The sequence below is a fragment of the Homo sapiens genome, chromosome 9 (genome assembly GCF_000001405.40).
Source record: "Homo sapiens chromosome 9, GRCh38.p14 Primary Assembly".
Taxonomy (NCBI): Eukaryota; Metazoa; Chordata; class Mammalia; order Primates; family Hominidae; genus Homo; species Homo sapiens.
The window spans coordinates 112,570,620-112,584,126 of NC_000009.12; the positions used below are offsets into that span (position 1 = coordinate 112,570,620).

Genomic DNA, 13,507 nt, shown 5'->3' on the forward strand with positions numbered 1-13,507 from the left:
GTCTCTTCTGTTGTGTTGTAAGGAATACAGTAAGAAGGAATGATACTTGGCTTTGCCAGTACCAAATCTGTATTAGTCAAGATTCTCCAGAGAGACAGAACTAATAGAATATGCATATATACATGAGAGGGCATTTATTAGGGGAATTGGCTCATGCGATTATGTGGCTGAGAAGTCTTACAACAGGCTGTCTGCTAGCTGGAAACCCTGGGATGCTGGTATAGTGGTTCAGTCCAAATCCAAAGGCCTCAGAACCAGGGAAGCTAATGATGTGACTCTCAGCCTGAGGCTGAAAGGCCGGGACCTGGGAACTGCTGGCGTAAGTCCCAGAGTCCAAAGGCTGGAGGCCTCCAGTTCTGATGTCCAAGGCAGCGAAAAAGAAGCCTATGCTAGCTCTCAGAGAGAGAACAATTCACCTTCTGTATTTGTTCTGTCTGGGGCCCCAGCTGATTAGATGGTGCCCGCCAATATTCAGGCGAGATCTTCACATAATCCACTCAGACTCACACACTAATCTCTCCTGGAAACAGCCTTACAGACACACCCCCAAATAATGCTTTACTAGGTTTCTAAGTCTTCCTTAATCCAGTCAAATTGACACCTGAATTTAAGTCCACAAGTTCACCCCATGTCAGTTTATCACTCATATGCATTTCCTTAAACCATACTTAATTTCCAAATAAAGACAATAACAAGGTAATAGTTCCACCTAACATGATGTAGCTATCCTATGATTGTGATTTTGGGGATGTTAGACTTTAGGGATTTTGATCTTTCGGGATTTCAACATTTGGAACTATGGCGTTCAGAATTTTGTCTTTCAGGATTATGATGCGAACCCCTTCCATTTACGTGTCCTTGGCCATGACTGTGTCATAGGGCCACCCTTGCTCCAGGGGAAGCTGGGAAAAATATTTTAGTGAGCACATTGCTGCCTTAACAAATTTGGACTCTCTGTGAGGAGTAAGAGAGAATGGACACTGGGTAGGCAAAATAGCAGTCTCTGCCACACCAATTAAATATTAATAGCTATGTTAAGTTCAAAACAGACTGGGGTGCAGTAGCTCATGCCTGTAATCCCTGAGCTTTGGGAGGCTGAGACAGGAGAATTGCTTGAGCCCAGTTCAAGACCAGCTTGGGCAACCTAGGGACACCCCTAGGTTAAAAAATAAAAAATAAATAAATAAATAAAAACAAAAAATAAAAATAAAAATAAAAAATAAAAAGAAATAAAATAAAAAAAGTTCAGAACAAACACACAAACCAATCTATGTCTTTTTTTTTTTTTTTTAACATTTCTACTTTAACCAAAGTTACATGAAAGGAACATAAATAAGTCTAAATTTCTAGAGTATGAAGGAAATGTAAGATCACGTAGTCCTGGCATTGTAGGCTTAGAGATAATTAGTGCCTTGTCTGAGACCACAGGAGCAGTTCCAGGCTTGGGATTTCACGTTCCTGACTCCCACGCCAGTCAATGTTCTTTCCGTTTACATGGCTGCTTCATGAACTCTGGGAGCTCATCTGTCACTCTTCTGCGTATACAGGGTGGCTGGGTTTGGGTTACACTATCCGGGAGAAAACTGTCTAATCCCTTGAATGATTACAATAAAAGTGATCTGAGGAAAATTTATGTGTCTGACTTGAGAGAGTCTTATACGTTCACTTTGTAAGTGTTGATGGTGCTGGCAGTATGTAAACATTCATTCATTCTTCATTCATTTATTCGACAACGACTGCATACTAGACAATAGGTTATAATGTCCCAAGAACAGGACCATGCCTTTTGAATTTCCATATCCCCAAGTAGGTCCTCACTGATGAGTGAATAATTAAGTCATAGTTTCTGCCTTCAGGAAATTATTAGGTCTGAGAGACAGACAAGCAAATCAATGATAACAGTACAGCAAAGGCAAATCCCTTGAGATGATACAGGCATGGGTGAAGGGAAGCTAAATAAATCTCTGAGGCAGAAAGGGGGTCTGGAAAGATGCCAATAGGAAGTAGCCGCAGGTTCAGTTTTGAAGAGGCTGGCCAGGTGAGGAAAGAGAAGGGCAGCATATCAAGCCAAAGAATCAGATTCTCACCAGTAGGGGGTTTAGAGAAGAGGGGACCACAAGAAGTGTGGGAAGAGGCCATGGTCGTAGGAAATGAGGCTTGAGAGGTGGCCGTGGCCACATCAACAGAGACCTTAATAGTATGTTAAAGGATTTGAACTTACCTAACCTCCCTGACAGGGCGCCATGGAGTCAGGGCAGGGAATGGCTCAGGTGTCTGTCCACTTTGGTGTAACCACCTGACATTGTGGTTAGACCATGGTGCCTGACTGCAGAGCACCAGCGGGGCACCTCTTGTCACCCACAGCTGCAGATAGCCAGGGCCGACAAAATCACACATAAAGATTCCTGTGCCTCCCTGACCAGTGCTCCCAGGACCCCCCTCTTGGCAGAGCCTTACTAACCTTTCCAGCCCCTTGCAGACTCCACATGTCCCCTTTCACTTTCCTACCCATCATGTTGTCCTCACTCCTCAGGGACTCCTAACAAGGGCTTCTTTTTGTCTCCTGCCTAATAAGGAATGATTTGCTTCTATTTGATAGTTGGTTATGCTTGGCTTTATGAGACCCTCAGATGGTAGAAAACACCAGACATACTTTGTAACCTCTAATGGTGGGATGAAAGGCAATATTTCAGGAATTGCAGACAGCCAGGAGACAGGAAGCCTGGTCCTAAGAGTGGTTAGAGCAGGGCCTCCCGCTTCCCCATCCTTGCTTCTTTGGTCTACAGCCTTCCCCTCCAGCAGGTCTCCTCCCAGTCTGTTCTCCCTTCTCTGCTTTTCTTTCCCACTTCTCAAATCGAGCCCCTCATCCTCTCCTTGGACTCCCAGTTGCATTGTCTTCTGGTGCCCAGTAGAGGACTGGCTTGCTCTCTCTGACCTCCGTCCTAAGATGGATCTAAACCTCCTTTGTTGGCTCTGCCTCTAGTAGTAAAGTTTCTGATGACAAAGGGTGTCATTGGAGCTGCATCCTCTTGGTTAATGCAAGTAATAGACACAATTTTATTATTGAGGGACCATCTGAACCTCTCTGTCAGTGACTTTGGAAGTAAAATGTACCATGGAAAAGCTCATTTCTTTATTGCTTGTTTCTCTTTTTCTTTCTCTCCTTTCTTTCCCCCCTTAGGCAGGAATTATTATAACAATAAAGAAAAGTAACAAAATTTTTCTCCAAATCCCACAACCATCAGTCATCAGCTGTTTTTACTTTTCCTGGTATTCTCTTCCAGTCCCTGCTCATCTACAGCGACCTTAACTAGATTCAGTTTTGAAGTGCGTTTTTTTTTTATGCCAAATGATCATATTTGGAACAAACTGAAGTAATTGAGCTATAGGATTATCTTGGGTAATAATGGCTTCTTCTTTTGATTATTTCCCTTTAGGAGTGACACTGCTGATCCTGTAACATGGAGGATTGTCTTCATACCTCATCTGAGAATCTGTCCAAATTGGTCAGCTGGGCCCATAGCCATGGGACTATTTGCAGCCTCATTCCAAACCTGAAACACTTGCTTTCTGAAGGTTCCCATGGGAACCTGACAGCAATGTGGGGCTGTAGTGCTGGCCATGCTTATCACTGGCCACTAACAGCTACTTGCAGAGCTGGGTCCCAAGAGAGGGTCTGTTTCCAGGATAACAGAAGTTTTAACTCTGATAGTCCCAGTATAATCGGGGTGCCCTCTGAGACACAGACTAGCCCTGTTGAAAGGTACCCTGGGAGACCAGTGAAAGCAAAGCTAGACTGTAACCGGACCAGAGACTCTTGTGACTTCTCCTACTGTAGTGAGCCCTCTGAACTGGATGAAACTGTTGAAGAATATGAAGATGAGAACACCCTGTTTGACATGGTTTGTGAGTCTTCTGTTACAGATGAGGATAGTGACTTTGAACCCCAAACCCAAAGGCCTCAAAGCATTGCTCGCAAAAGACCTGGGGTAGTCCCATCTTCCCTCCATTCAAGCTCCCAGACGCAGATGGTTGACGAATGCAGCAATGATGTCATCATCAAGAAAATCAAACAAGAAATCCCCGAAGATTATTACATTGTGGCAAATGCAGAACTGACAGGAGGAGTAGATGGACCAGCCCTGTCCTTGACACAGATGGCAAAACCCAAGCCTCAGACTCACGCTGGTCCCTCCTGTGTAGGGTCTGCTAAACTGATTCCCCATGTCACATCTGCCATCAGCACGGAGCTAGACCCACACGGTATGTCTGCATCCCCCTCTGTGATCTCCAGACCAATTGTCCAGAAGACTGCTAGGGTATCTCTGGCTTCACCAAACAGAGGACCCCCTGGTACACATGGCACCAACCAACAGGTGGCCATGCAAATGCCTGTGAGCACATCCCATCCTAACAAACAGATCAGTATCCCCTTGTCTGCCCTGCAGCTGCCTGGACAGGATGAGCAAGTTGCCTCTGAAGAGTTCCTGTCCCATCTGCCCAGCCAGGTCTCCTCCTGTGAGGTAGCCCTTTCTCCCTCAGTTAACACAGAGCCAGAAGTGAGCTCCAGTCAGCAGCAGCCCCCAGTCGCTCCAGCCATAACCACTGAGGCCACAGCACAGTGCATACCAGGTATGGCACATGAGGCGACAGTGAGTCCCTCATCCACGCACGCCAGAATTCTGCGCCGTCAGCACTTCTAAAACCATTCACTCAGTTTGCTAGAATTCAGTCCTTTGTTAGTCATAGAAAGATAGAAACAATGACTGTGTTACATCCAGGTGATACTATACAGGAAATTCATAAGAATTATGGCCATATCTAGTTGACGTACCTTAGGGCTGAGAGGACAGCTGTAAGATTGTTCTGTTGATATTGCAGCGTTAGATTTAAGGTTGATACCTGTCAGCTGAATTTTTATATAGTAAAGTTATTTTTGAAAGTTTTAAAAATATGCTTCTCCATCAGTAGCAAGGTGTTTAGTTGCTGTTTGAAGCCAAAATAATGTTGGGTAAGGCATATCATGACAATAGACCTAATGCTTTTCGTATTATTTATTTGACTGAGCCAACTTGACGTTGCTATTCATTTTAGTTGCTCTGGTAGTTAATAAGTATTTTAAAAAGCAATGTACATTTCTAAAAGAGGTATTTGATCTTTTCTCTTAAAATTTAAAAGAATATGGAAACTTGCATTTCTGGAATCTGTGAGCCAATGGGAATGGATTGAGAGGAGAATGAAATAATTGTACGAGGCCCCTGCACCTGTAATTCTAACGTTCTAATGTTCTTTAATTCTGACATTCAATGTTTATTTAATCTGGGCCATTAGTATATAAAGGGGTTGGATCTCATGCTTTGGCTTCATGACTCAATTCTAGTAGGCTAGAATAGAAACGTGGACAAGGATGAACAAATGTGCAGAAATCTGTGGCATGTTTTAGTTTATTTCAGCCCTTCTCAAAAACGTCGTGTATTTTGGGAAAAGCTTCCTAGAAACCTGAGGCCCCTGTGCCTTCATCCTGAAACGTCCTTGGATTAAGTTGCTTTACAAACTTCTTTTTTCCAATTTTAGTATCAACTTTAAGATTCCCAAAGAAGACCTTTCATTTATGATTTTTTTGAAGACATAGTCATGGTGTTATTAAGAAGATATTCACTGAAAATATTTATATCCTGATTGAAGATTATGCTTTTCAGTTTATTCACTTTTATCTTTTTTTAAATAATAGTTTTATTGAGATACAGTTCACATATAAAATTCACTCTTTTAAAGTGTACAGTTCAGTGGGTTTTGGTGTATTCATAGAGTTGTACAACTATCGCTATTATCTAATTTCAGAATATTTTCATCACCCCAAAAAGAAATCCCATACCCATTAACAGTCACTTTTTCCCTCCTCTTAGTTCCTGGCAACTGCTAATCTGCTTTCTGTCTATGGATTTTCCTATTCTATATGTTTCATATACATGGAATCATATATTATGTGGTCTTTTGTGACCACCCTCTTACACTTAGCATTATGTTTTCAAGGTTAATCCATGTTGTAGCGTTTCTTTCCTTTTTATTGCCAAATAATATTTTGTTGTATGACTATACCATATTTTATTTTTCCTTTCATCAGTTGATGGACATTGGGGTTGTGTTCATATTTTGGCTATTATGAATACTGCTGCTGTGAACATTTGTGAACAGGTTTTTGTGTGGGTGTGTATGTTTATCTTGCTTGGGTAACTACCTAGGAGTGGAATTGCTGGGTCCTGTGGTAACTTTGTATTTAACTTTTTGAGGAGCTGTCAAACTGTTTTCCCAAGCAGCTCCATCATTGTACAGCCTCACTAGTAATCTATAAAGGTTCTTACTGCTCCACATTGTCACCAACACTTGTTATTTTTCATGTTTAAAAAAATAATAAATATCCTATTGGGTGTGTGAAGTAGTATCTTATTGGGGTTTTGATTTGCATTACCCTAATGACTAATGGTACTGAGATTTTTTTCATGTGCTTGTTAGCCATTTGTATATTTTCTTTTGAGAAATATCTACTCAAATCTTTTGGCCATTTTAAAATTGCCTTCTTATTGGTGAGTTTTTGGAGTTCTTTATGTGTGCTGAATATGAGATCCTTATCAGGTATATAATTGGCAAGTATTTTCTCCCATCCCATGGATTGTCTTTTTCTTTCTTTCTTTTAAAAAATATTTTAATGAATTATACTTTGATCATTGAATAACAATGTGGTCCTTGACTAATCTCATCATGAGACAAAATGTTATCTTTATTAGGCTGGTGAAAGTCTTTGTTCTAGGAAATCTGACTCTTGATATATGTAGGATATAAGTAGCACCTTTTCACTTAAATGGTTATGAACCTAGTTCTAGTTTATTTATTTATTTGAACTCTCCTGCCCCCCTTTTTTTTTTTTCATTTAAATAGGGTAGAATTCAGAAATGTATTTTGCAAAGTGGTCCAGTGTACCCAGTTTGGTGAGAGTATTAGTTGTGTTGCATACCTTTTCACTAATCCCTGCAAAGCAAGATGCAAGACTTTTCTGCATCTGCCTTGTGGATAGTAAATGAGGCACTGAGGCGCTTTGCTAAACCATATATGAATATATTACTGTCTCATTATTTTGGGAAAGAAATTCAGCCTATTTGAAAAAAAAAAAACGAATCCATTTATTATTGTGTGTATTACATTCTCTTAGGTTTTTTTCTTCCCTCATGGAAATTGCACTTCTTATATTAGCTATGAAAAGCTGGCATGGCCAAAGAGAGCACAGAATATATACTGTCATAAATTGTGATTTGGCTTTATTCTCAGAGGAGGATTAGTTTGGCTTGGAGGTAAACCTTTAAGAAAAACACTATGAAGACTGGTCATGACGATTTTCCAAGGATGGTCCTCATATTTTGATCCATTGTTCTCGGGAAGGGTATCATATTGCTAAGATGTCATTAGCTTTAGAGATATACTGTTTGAACTGGAAACAGCAGTGGGACAAATAAAAATCAGACTCATATTTTTCTTTTGAGTGAACTGTATAAAGTTAACATAAAATTTACTTTTTACTTTAGTACCTAACTAGATTCTGTGTTCTAAAGTTTTAGTTATGTGTTTGTGTTTGCATGTTTATTTATAGTAGATAATCTTTCTAAACATAGATTTTAAAAAATTTAGAATCTAGCACACCCAGATGTATGTGAATGACTTGGTTACGGATGGACCTTACACAGTTAATATGTAAAGCGTACTTGGGACTAAGCAAAGAAGACAGGTTCTGAAAGCTAAGTCAGGTTCTTTTAAAATGGATGCTCTGTACTGAGTCTTTATCAGATCATTGCAGAAATACTGCGTATCTTTAGATAATATTTTTAAAATAAATAATTTGACAAATGACTATTGAGTCAGCCAGAAACAAAGAGAAATTGTTCCATTTTGTTTGGTTTTACTGTTGCCATTTAAATTTGATTCCCATAGTGGAAAATCATCCCTACTTCTGTTCAGAGCTGAACTCATAAAATTATAAAATGTTAATCAAGGTATAGATAAAATCATTAATTTTCATGTCAATCCTGCCATACTGCTCAATCCAAATCTTAGCAAACAATGAGTAAAGAGGGCATCTATTATTAGAAGAATTATTGACTACCTACTAGTAGCTTGGATTCCATTAATTTTTGAGGTTTTATGTAAATTTGGGGCATTTGTCATAATGACATTTAAATCTCTATCGCATCATGAGTTAGGGTTTTATGTGTATATTATATTTCTTCAATATACTTACATACACATAGCTTCTTTTATGATTTTGTGTAAGGATCCCTTTTATTAATCAGCTTTTTTCCCAGTTCTGTGGTATAAGCAATCCATTTTTGCCTATCAGATTTGTATGTATATATATTTTTTCTTTTAAAAAAATTTATTTATCTTTTTCTAATAGATTCATATGGGTTCTGGATATATTAGAAATAGTAACTCATAATCTCTCATGTATATTGGAAATACATTTCCCAAGTAGCTCATAGTCTCTCACGTATATTGGAAATACATTTCCCACTTTACCATTAGCTTTTAATTTTGTTGATGACCTTTTTTAAGGTGTGAATTTTCTTAATTTTTATGAAGGCAATTCTTTCAACATCTATCAGTCAATCAATCTTTTCTGTCTTTGGTATTTTGCTTAGGAAGTCCTTTCCATACATTGGGATCACATAAATATTTCTCTGTATTTCCCTCTTATTCTTTTATGGTTTTCTTTCTCTCTCCTCTCCTCTCCCTTTCTTTTTTTGACATTTGACTTTACAGTTAGAATACCTTTTGGGGTAGAACCTCATGTTACTATTTTTGCAGGTAGTCAGGTGTCTCAGCTTCATTTGTTGAATAATTCTCATTCTCCGCTGAATTGATTCAGATACCACATTTTTGTTTATTATTGGGTCTCTTTCTTGTTTTCAGTTCTGTTTTTATTGATCTCTTTATTTTTTCTTCTGATTTTTACTGTTTGAGTATTTATTTGTATAAATTTATGGTGATTGTATTTTATACAAAAAATGCATTCAGAAAGAAATGTAGTCTAAGTCATTTAATATGCTTTTTGAAAAATTACTCATGTAAAATTGAGTTCAGTGAGCTTTTAAAAATTGATTAAGGTATGTATTACTGCCAGTTATTTGATCTGTGTTGACATAATAGATAATGGTTTCTCTTGTCAGAAGCAAAAAATCTGAGTTGAAATAAGTTAAAGGAGAGAATTGACTGCCTTATAGTCCAAGGACAGATTTTCAAACCAGCTTTCACTCAGGCTCAGACAGCATCAAGTTTCCCTCTTGCCATTTGCCACCTTGCCTTCCTCCCTATTAGATTCACCTGTTATACTTGACCCCTGCGTGGACCCAAGATGGTTGTGCTGCTGGTTTCTTGTCTAGCAGTAGACAGAACCTGTGTCACAGCATTCCCAGTCACCCCTAAATCACGCATAGGGGGATCAGGCCCCCACCCTGGAAATGGTATTGAGACCAAGCCTACACAAACTACATAGCTGAGTGTGAGCGTGGGGTGGAAGTATTCTTCCAAGAACATTCTAGGTATGATTCTTGAGAGGGGCAGTAAACCAGAGATTCCTACTACTGTTTATGGGAGGTTTGTTTTGTTTTCTTTTGAGCATTTAGTTTTTTTTATGTGGGCAGATAAGAAGAGTTGTTACGTGTTTTATTTAAAGGCAGTGTATATTGGAAAAGTGTTCTAAGTGTGGAAATATGTATAAATATGTGTGCTTGTGTATACATACATATATATGTATATATATATACATAGACACATATTTTATATATTTCTTTATTCCATGAGAAATATATGCCTCTTCTTACAAGAAGAAACAAGACTAACTGGGCACAGTGGCTCATGCCTGTAATCCCAACACTTTGGGAGGCCAAGGCGAGTGGATCACCTGAGGTCAGGAGTTCAAGACCAGCCTGGCCAACATGGTGAAACCCCATCTCTTCTGAAAATACAAAAATTAGCCCAGCGTGGTGGCAGGCGCCTGTAGTCCCAGCTATTCGGCAGGCTGAGGCAGGAGAATTGCCTGAACCCCAGAGGCAGAGGTTACAGTGAGCCAAGATTGTGCCACTGCACTCCAGCCTGGGCTCCAGAGCGAGACTCCATCTCAAAAAAAAAAAACACAAAGAAAGAAACAAGACTAAAATTTATTTTCTTAGCCATTTCTTAACCTTTTCCTGTAGTTTCCTGAAGGAAGAGCTGAGTTATAATTTTTGAAAAATAAGAGAGACAAAGTAAAAATTCAGCTTTTTATTTTTGCCATCATTTTCTTCCTTATCACAAACCGGGTACACATCTGAAGATTGATATGGCAGGCAGCTCTGGGCTGAGAGAGTGGAGCCTGGCCACCCGGAGCTTAGAGTCTGATGTGTTTATTTATTTTTATTTTTTTCTCAGATCTCTTAGAGATGAATAGAATCAGATGTATTTGAGTTTATTCCTTACTCTGCCTCCTGCTGGCCTTGTGACCTTAGCTACGTCATTTCACTTCTCTGAAACTCAGTTCCCTCATTTGTAAAGTAATGATAATGTCTGCCTGTCAGGGTTATTGTGAGGACCAAATGCAAAAATATAGGTAAAGCACTAAAGAGAGTACCTGACATATGATAAACATTCAATAAATGGATAATAGCCGCCTTTATTAATATTTTTATTTTCATCATCATCATCATTAGATTGTGCTCAATACTCTGTGAGAAGTGAAGTAGATTCTGGTTTCATGTAGTTACACCCATTTGTCTACTAAAATATGGTCCGTGGACCAGTATCACCACCAGCATTACCTGGGAGCACATTAGAAATGCAGAGTTTCAGGAGGCCGCGAGGAAAGACCAAAAATGCTGTGTCTGCCCAGCCTCCCCCAAGCCCTCAGTGCCCAGGGCCAGATCTGGGTGCAGGAGCGGAGATTAATAGGAAAGTCTAGAGCCTTATTTCCCTCACTCATCCAGGAAGTGAACCTTGGAACTGATCTTTGGGGGCATTCTTTCCCAGATATAGGAAGTCATACACTAAAGGGGAAGGGAAGGAACATTGAACCCTGCTCACAGGCCTGATACCTTTCAACACTAGTTATCCCATTTAACCTCTGTCACAATCCTGTTAGGAACTGGAGAGCTGAGATCTCAGAGAATGTGCAGCCACCCAAGAACACCACCAAGGTGAGGTGAAGGGACTCACTGGAAGCCTTGGTTTTCTTGGTCACGTCTGAGATCAGACCAGACTCAACTCTTCCCTGACATGCTAGTCCTGGGGGATGCATTCAGCCCACCTCTTGTTGCCACCTTTCCCCACTGTCAGAGCCACATACCCATGAATGCAAACTCACTGCAGTTGAGCAGCCCTATTACCTCATTAGGGAAGCTTCACCGCTTCAGCGCTGGGAAGGCATAGGCACTGGTTTCAAGTCTACAGACAGTATCAGGCTTAGGAAAGGAAAGGCGTGACAGTCACACTGTCACATTTTTTGCTCATTTACTTGAGTAGTAAAGAGTTGGGATAGCACAACGGGTGACTGTAGTCAATAATAACTTAATTGTACATTTTTAAATGACTAGAGAAGTATAATTGGATTGTCTGTAACAAAGGATAAATGCTTGAGGGGCTGAATACCCCATTCTCCATGATGTGATTATTACACATTTGCATGCCTGTATCAAAATATCTCATGTAACCCATAAATATATACACCTACTATGTACCCACAAAAATTAAAAATTAAAAAAATTTTTAAAGAAACAGTTGTTAGGCCAAGGGACCAAGAGAAAGCAGAGAGAGTGGAATATGAATGGCCGTAAGAGTGACTTGTTCTCACCTGCTCGATGATTCAGCAGCTCAGGGAAACATAGACATCTCTGAAGACCTAAGCTATGTCTCAGGACACTTTCAGGTCTTACTCGCCATCCACACGTGGGATCTAGAGGACAAAGGACTATATTAGGCAAGTGACAACTCAGCCCTCTAATCCTTTAGAGGATCAGATAGAGTGGCATAATCCAAAGAACAGCTCTTATTTCAACTAAAGGGAGGAGAAACAGCAATAGCCCTGAAAAAAAAAAAAAACAGACAAAAAAACCGAATCCATAACCAAAGATGACAGCTTCTGTTCAGTACCCACTAGTTCTGTGGAATGAGTTCCCATGCTTCCTATGAAGGGCGGAGGGAAGGATTCAGTGACATGGACATGGCTGTCACTGAAGCAGCACATACAATTCTCTGGCATTGACAGGGGCTTGTTACATGTTTATTGAATGAATCTCTCTGAAAAGAAAACAAATGCAGAATCTCAGGCTCCACAAAATCAGAATCTGCATTTAAAAAGATCTCCAGGTGATTTTGTATGCGCATTAGAGCTTGAGAAGCAGTGATCTAGGAAATTCAGGTTACAGCCTACATTGTCATTTCATCTGGCCACCCAGTAATGTTGAGCACTCTTCCTATCTATGTGAGAGAATTCCCTCCTTTGTGCATGTGTACCTCCCCATAGGAGAAGCCAGAAACTTGCTTTCCAGGTTTACATTTCAGCAAGGGCAGTCCTGTGACCTTAGGCTTTGCCAGTCAAATGCATCCACATCAGACTGGGGGAGCACAGAGATGCAAATTAAAACAACAAGATACTATCTTACTCCCATTAGAAAGGCAAAAAGTATTAATTTTAAGTATTCCAAGTGTTATTGAAGGTATGAGAAAATGGGGACATGCTGGTGGAAATATAAATTGGTACAACTACTTTGGAGAGCAATTTACAATATCAAAGTTTAAAGTGTGCGTATCATACAACCTTGGAATTCAATTTTTAAATGCCTGTCTTAGACTTTCTCATAGTATATAAAAGGAGATATGTACAGGGGTCTACAGTGCAACTTCTTGATAACAGGAGAAAAAAATCAGTTAACCTTAGTGTCTATCAATAGGGAAATAGATAAATATATTGTGATATATTTTTCAGTGAAATAGATGAATCAGCCAGATGTACATTTATTGTGTATAAATCTTGGAAGACAAAGTTGCAGAATATTATTATATATTAGAGTAATACCATACCTGTTTAAAGCACATGAACATTACGATGTAGTGTGTGTTACACAGACACACACACTTAATTAAACATGGACTGGAAGGAGACACCCCAGATACACAGTAGTGGTTTTCTTCGAGGAGGGGGTAATGGAAACAGGTACATGGGAAGCTTAAACTGTATCTATAATTTTTTAAAATACGTATGTAATATATATAGCAAAATGTGAACATTTATTAAATCTGAGTGGTGGGCACTCAGCACTCTGGAAGGCTGAGGTGGGAGGATCACTTGAGCCCGGGAGTTTAAGGCTGCAGTGAGCTATGATTGTGCCACTGCACGCCAGCCTGAACAACAGCAAGACCCAGTCTCTTAAAAAAAAAAATCTGAGTGATGGGAACATGAGTTTATGTTAACAGGAGGCAACCTTAGCAC

General features: G+C 39.7%; 1 protein-coding gene across 4 annotated transcripts in view; it reads left to right on the top strand.

The window, feature by feature from the left end:
* Positions 1-13,507, top strand: part of KIAA1958 — a 182,571-nt gene that overhangs the window by 83,793 nt on the left and 85,271 nt on the right. For all 4 annotated transcript variants that reach the window (NM_001287036.2, NM_133465.4, NM_001287038.2 and 1 more), the window contains exon 2: positions 3,438-4,632. In NM_001287036.2, the coding sequence (NP_001273965.1) occupies positions 3,462-4,632 (1,171 nt within the window). In that variant the 5' untranslated portion in view covers positions 3,438-3,461. The remainder of the gene's footprint in view (positions 1-3,437; positions 4,633-13,507) is intronic.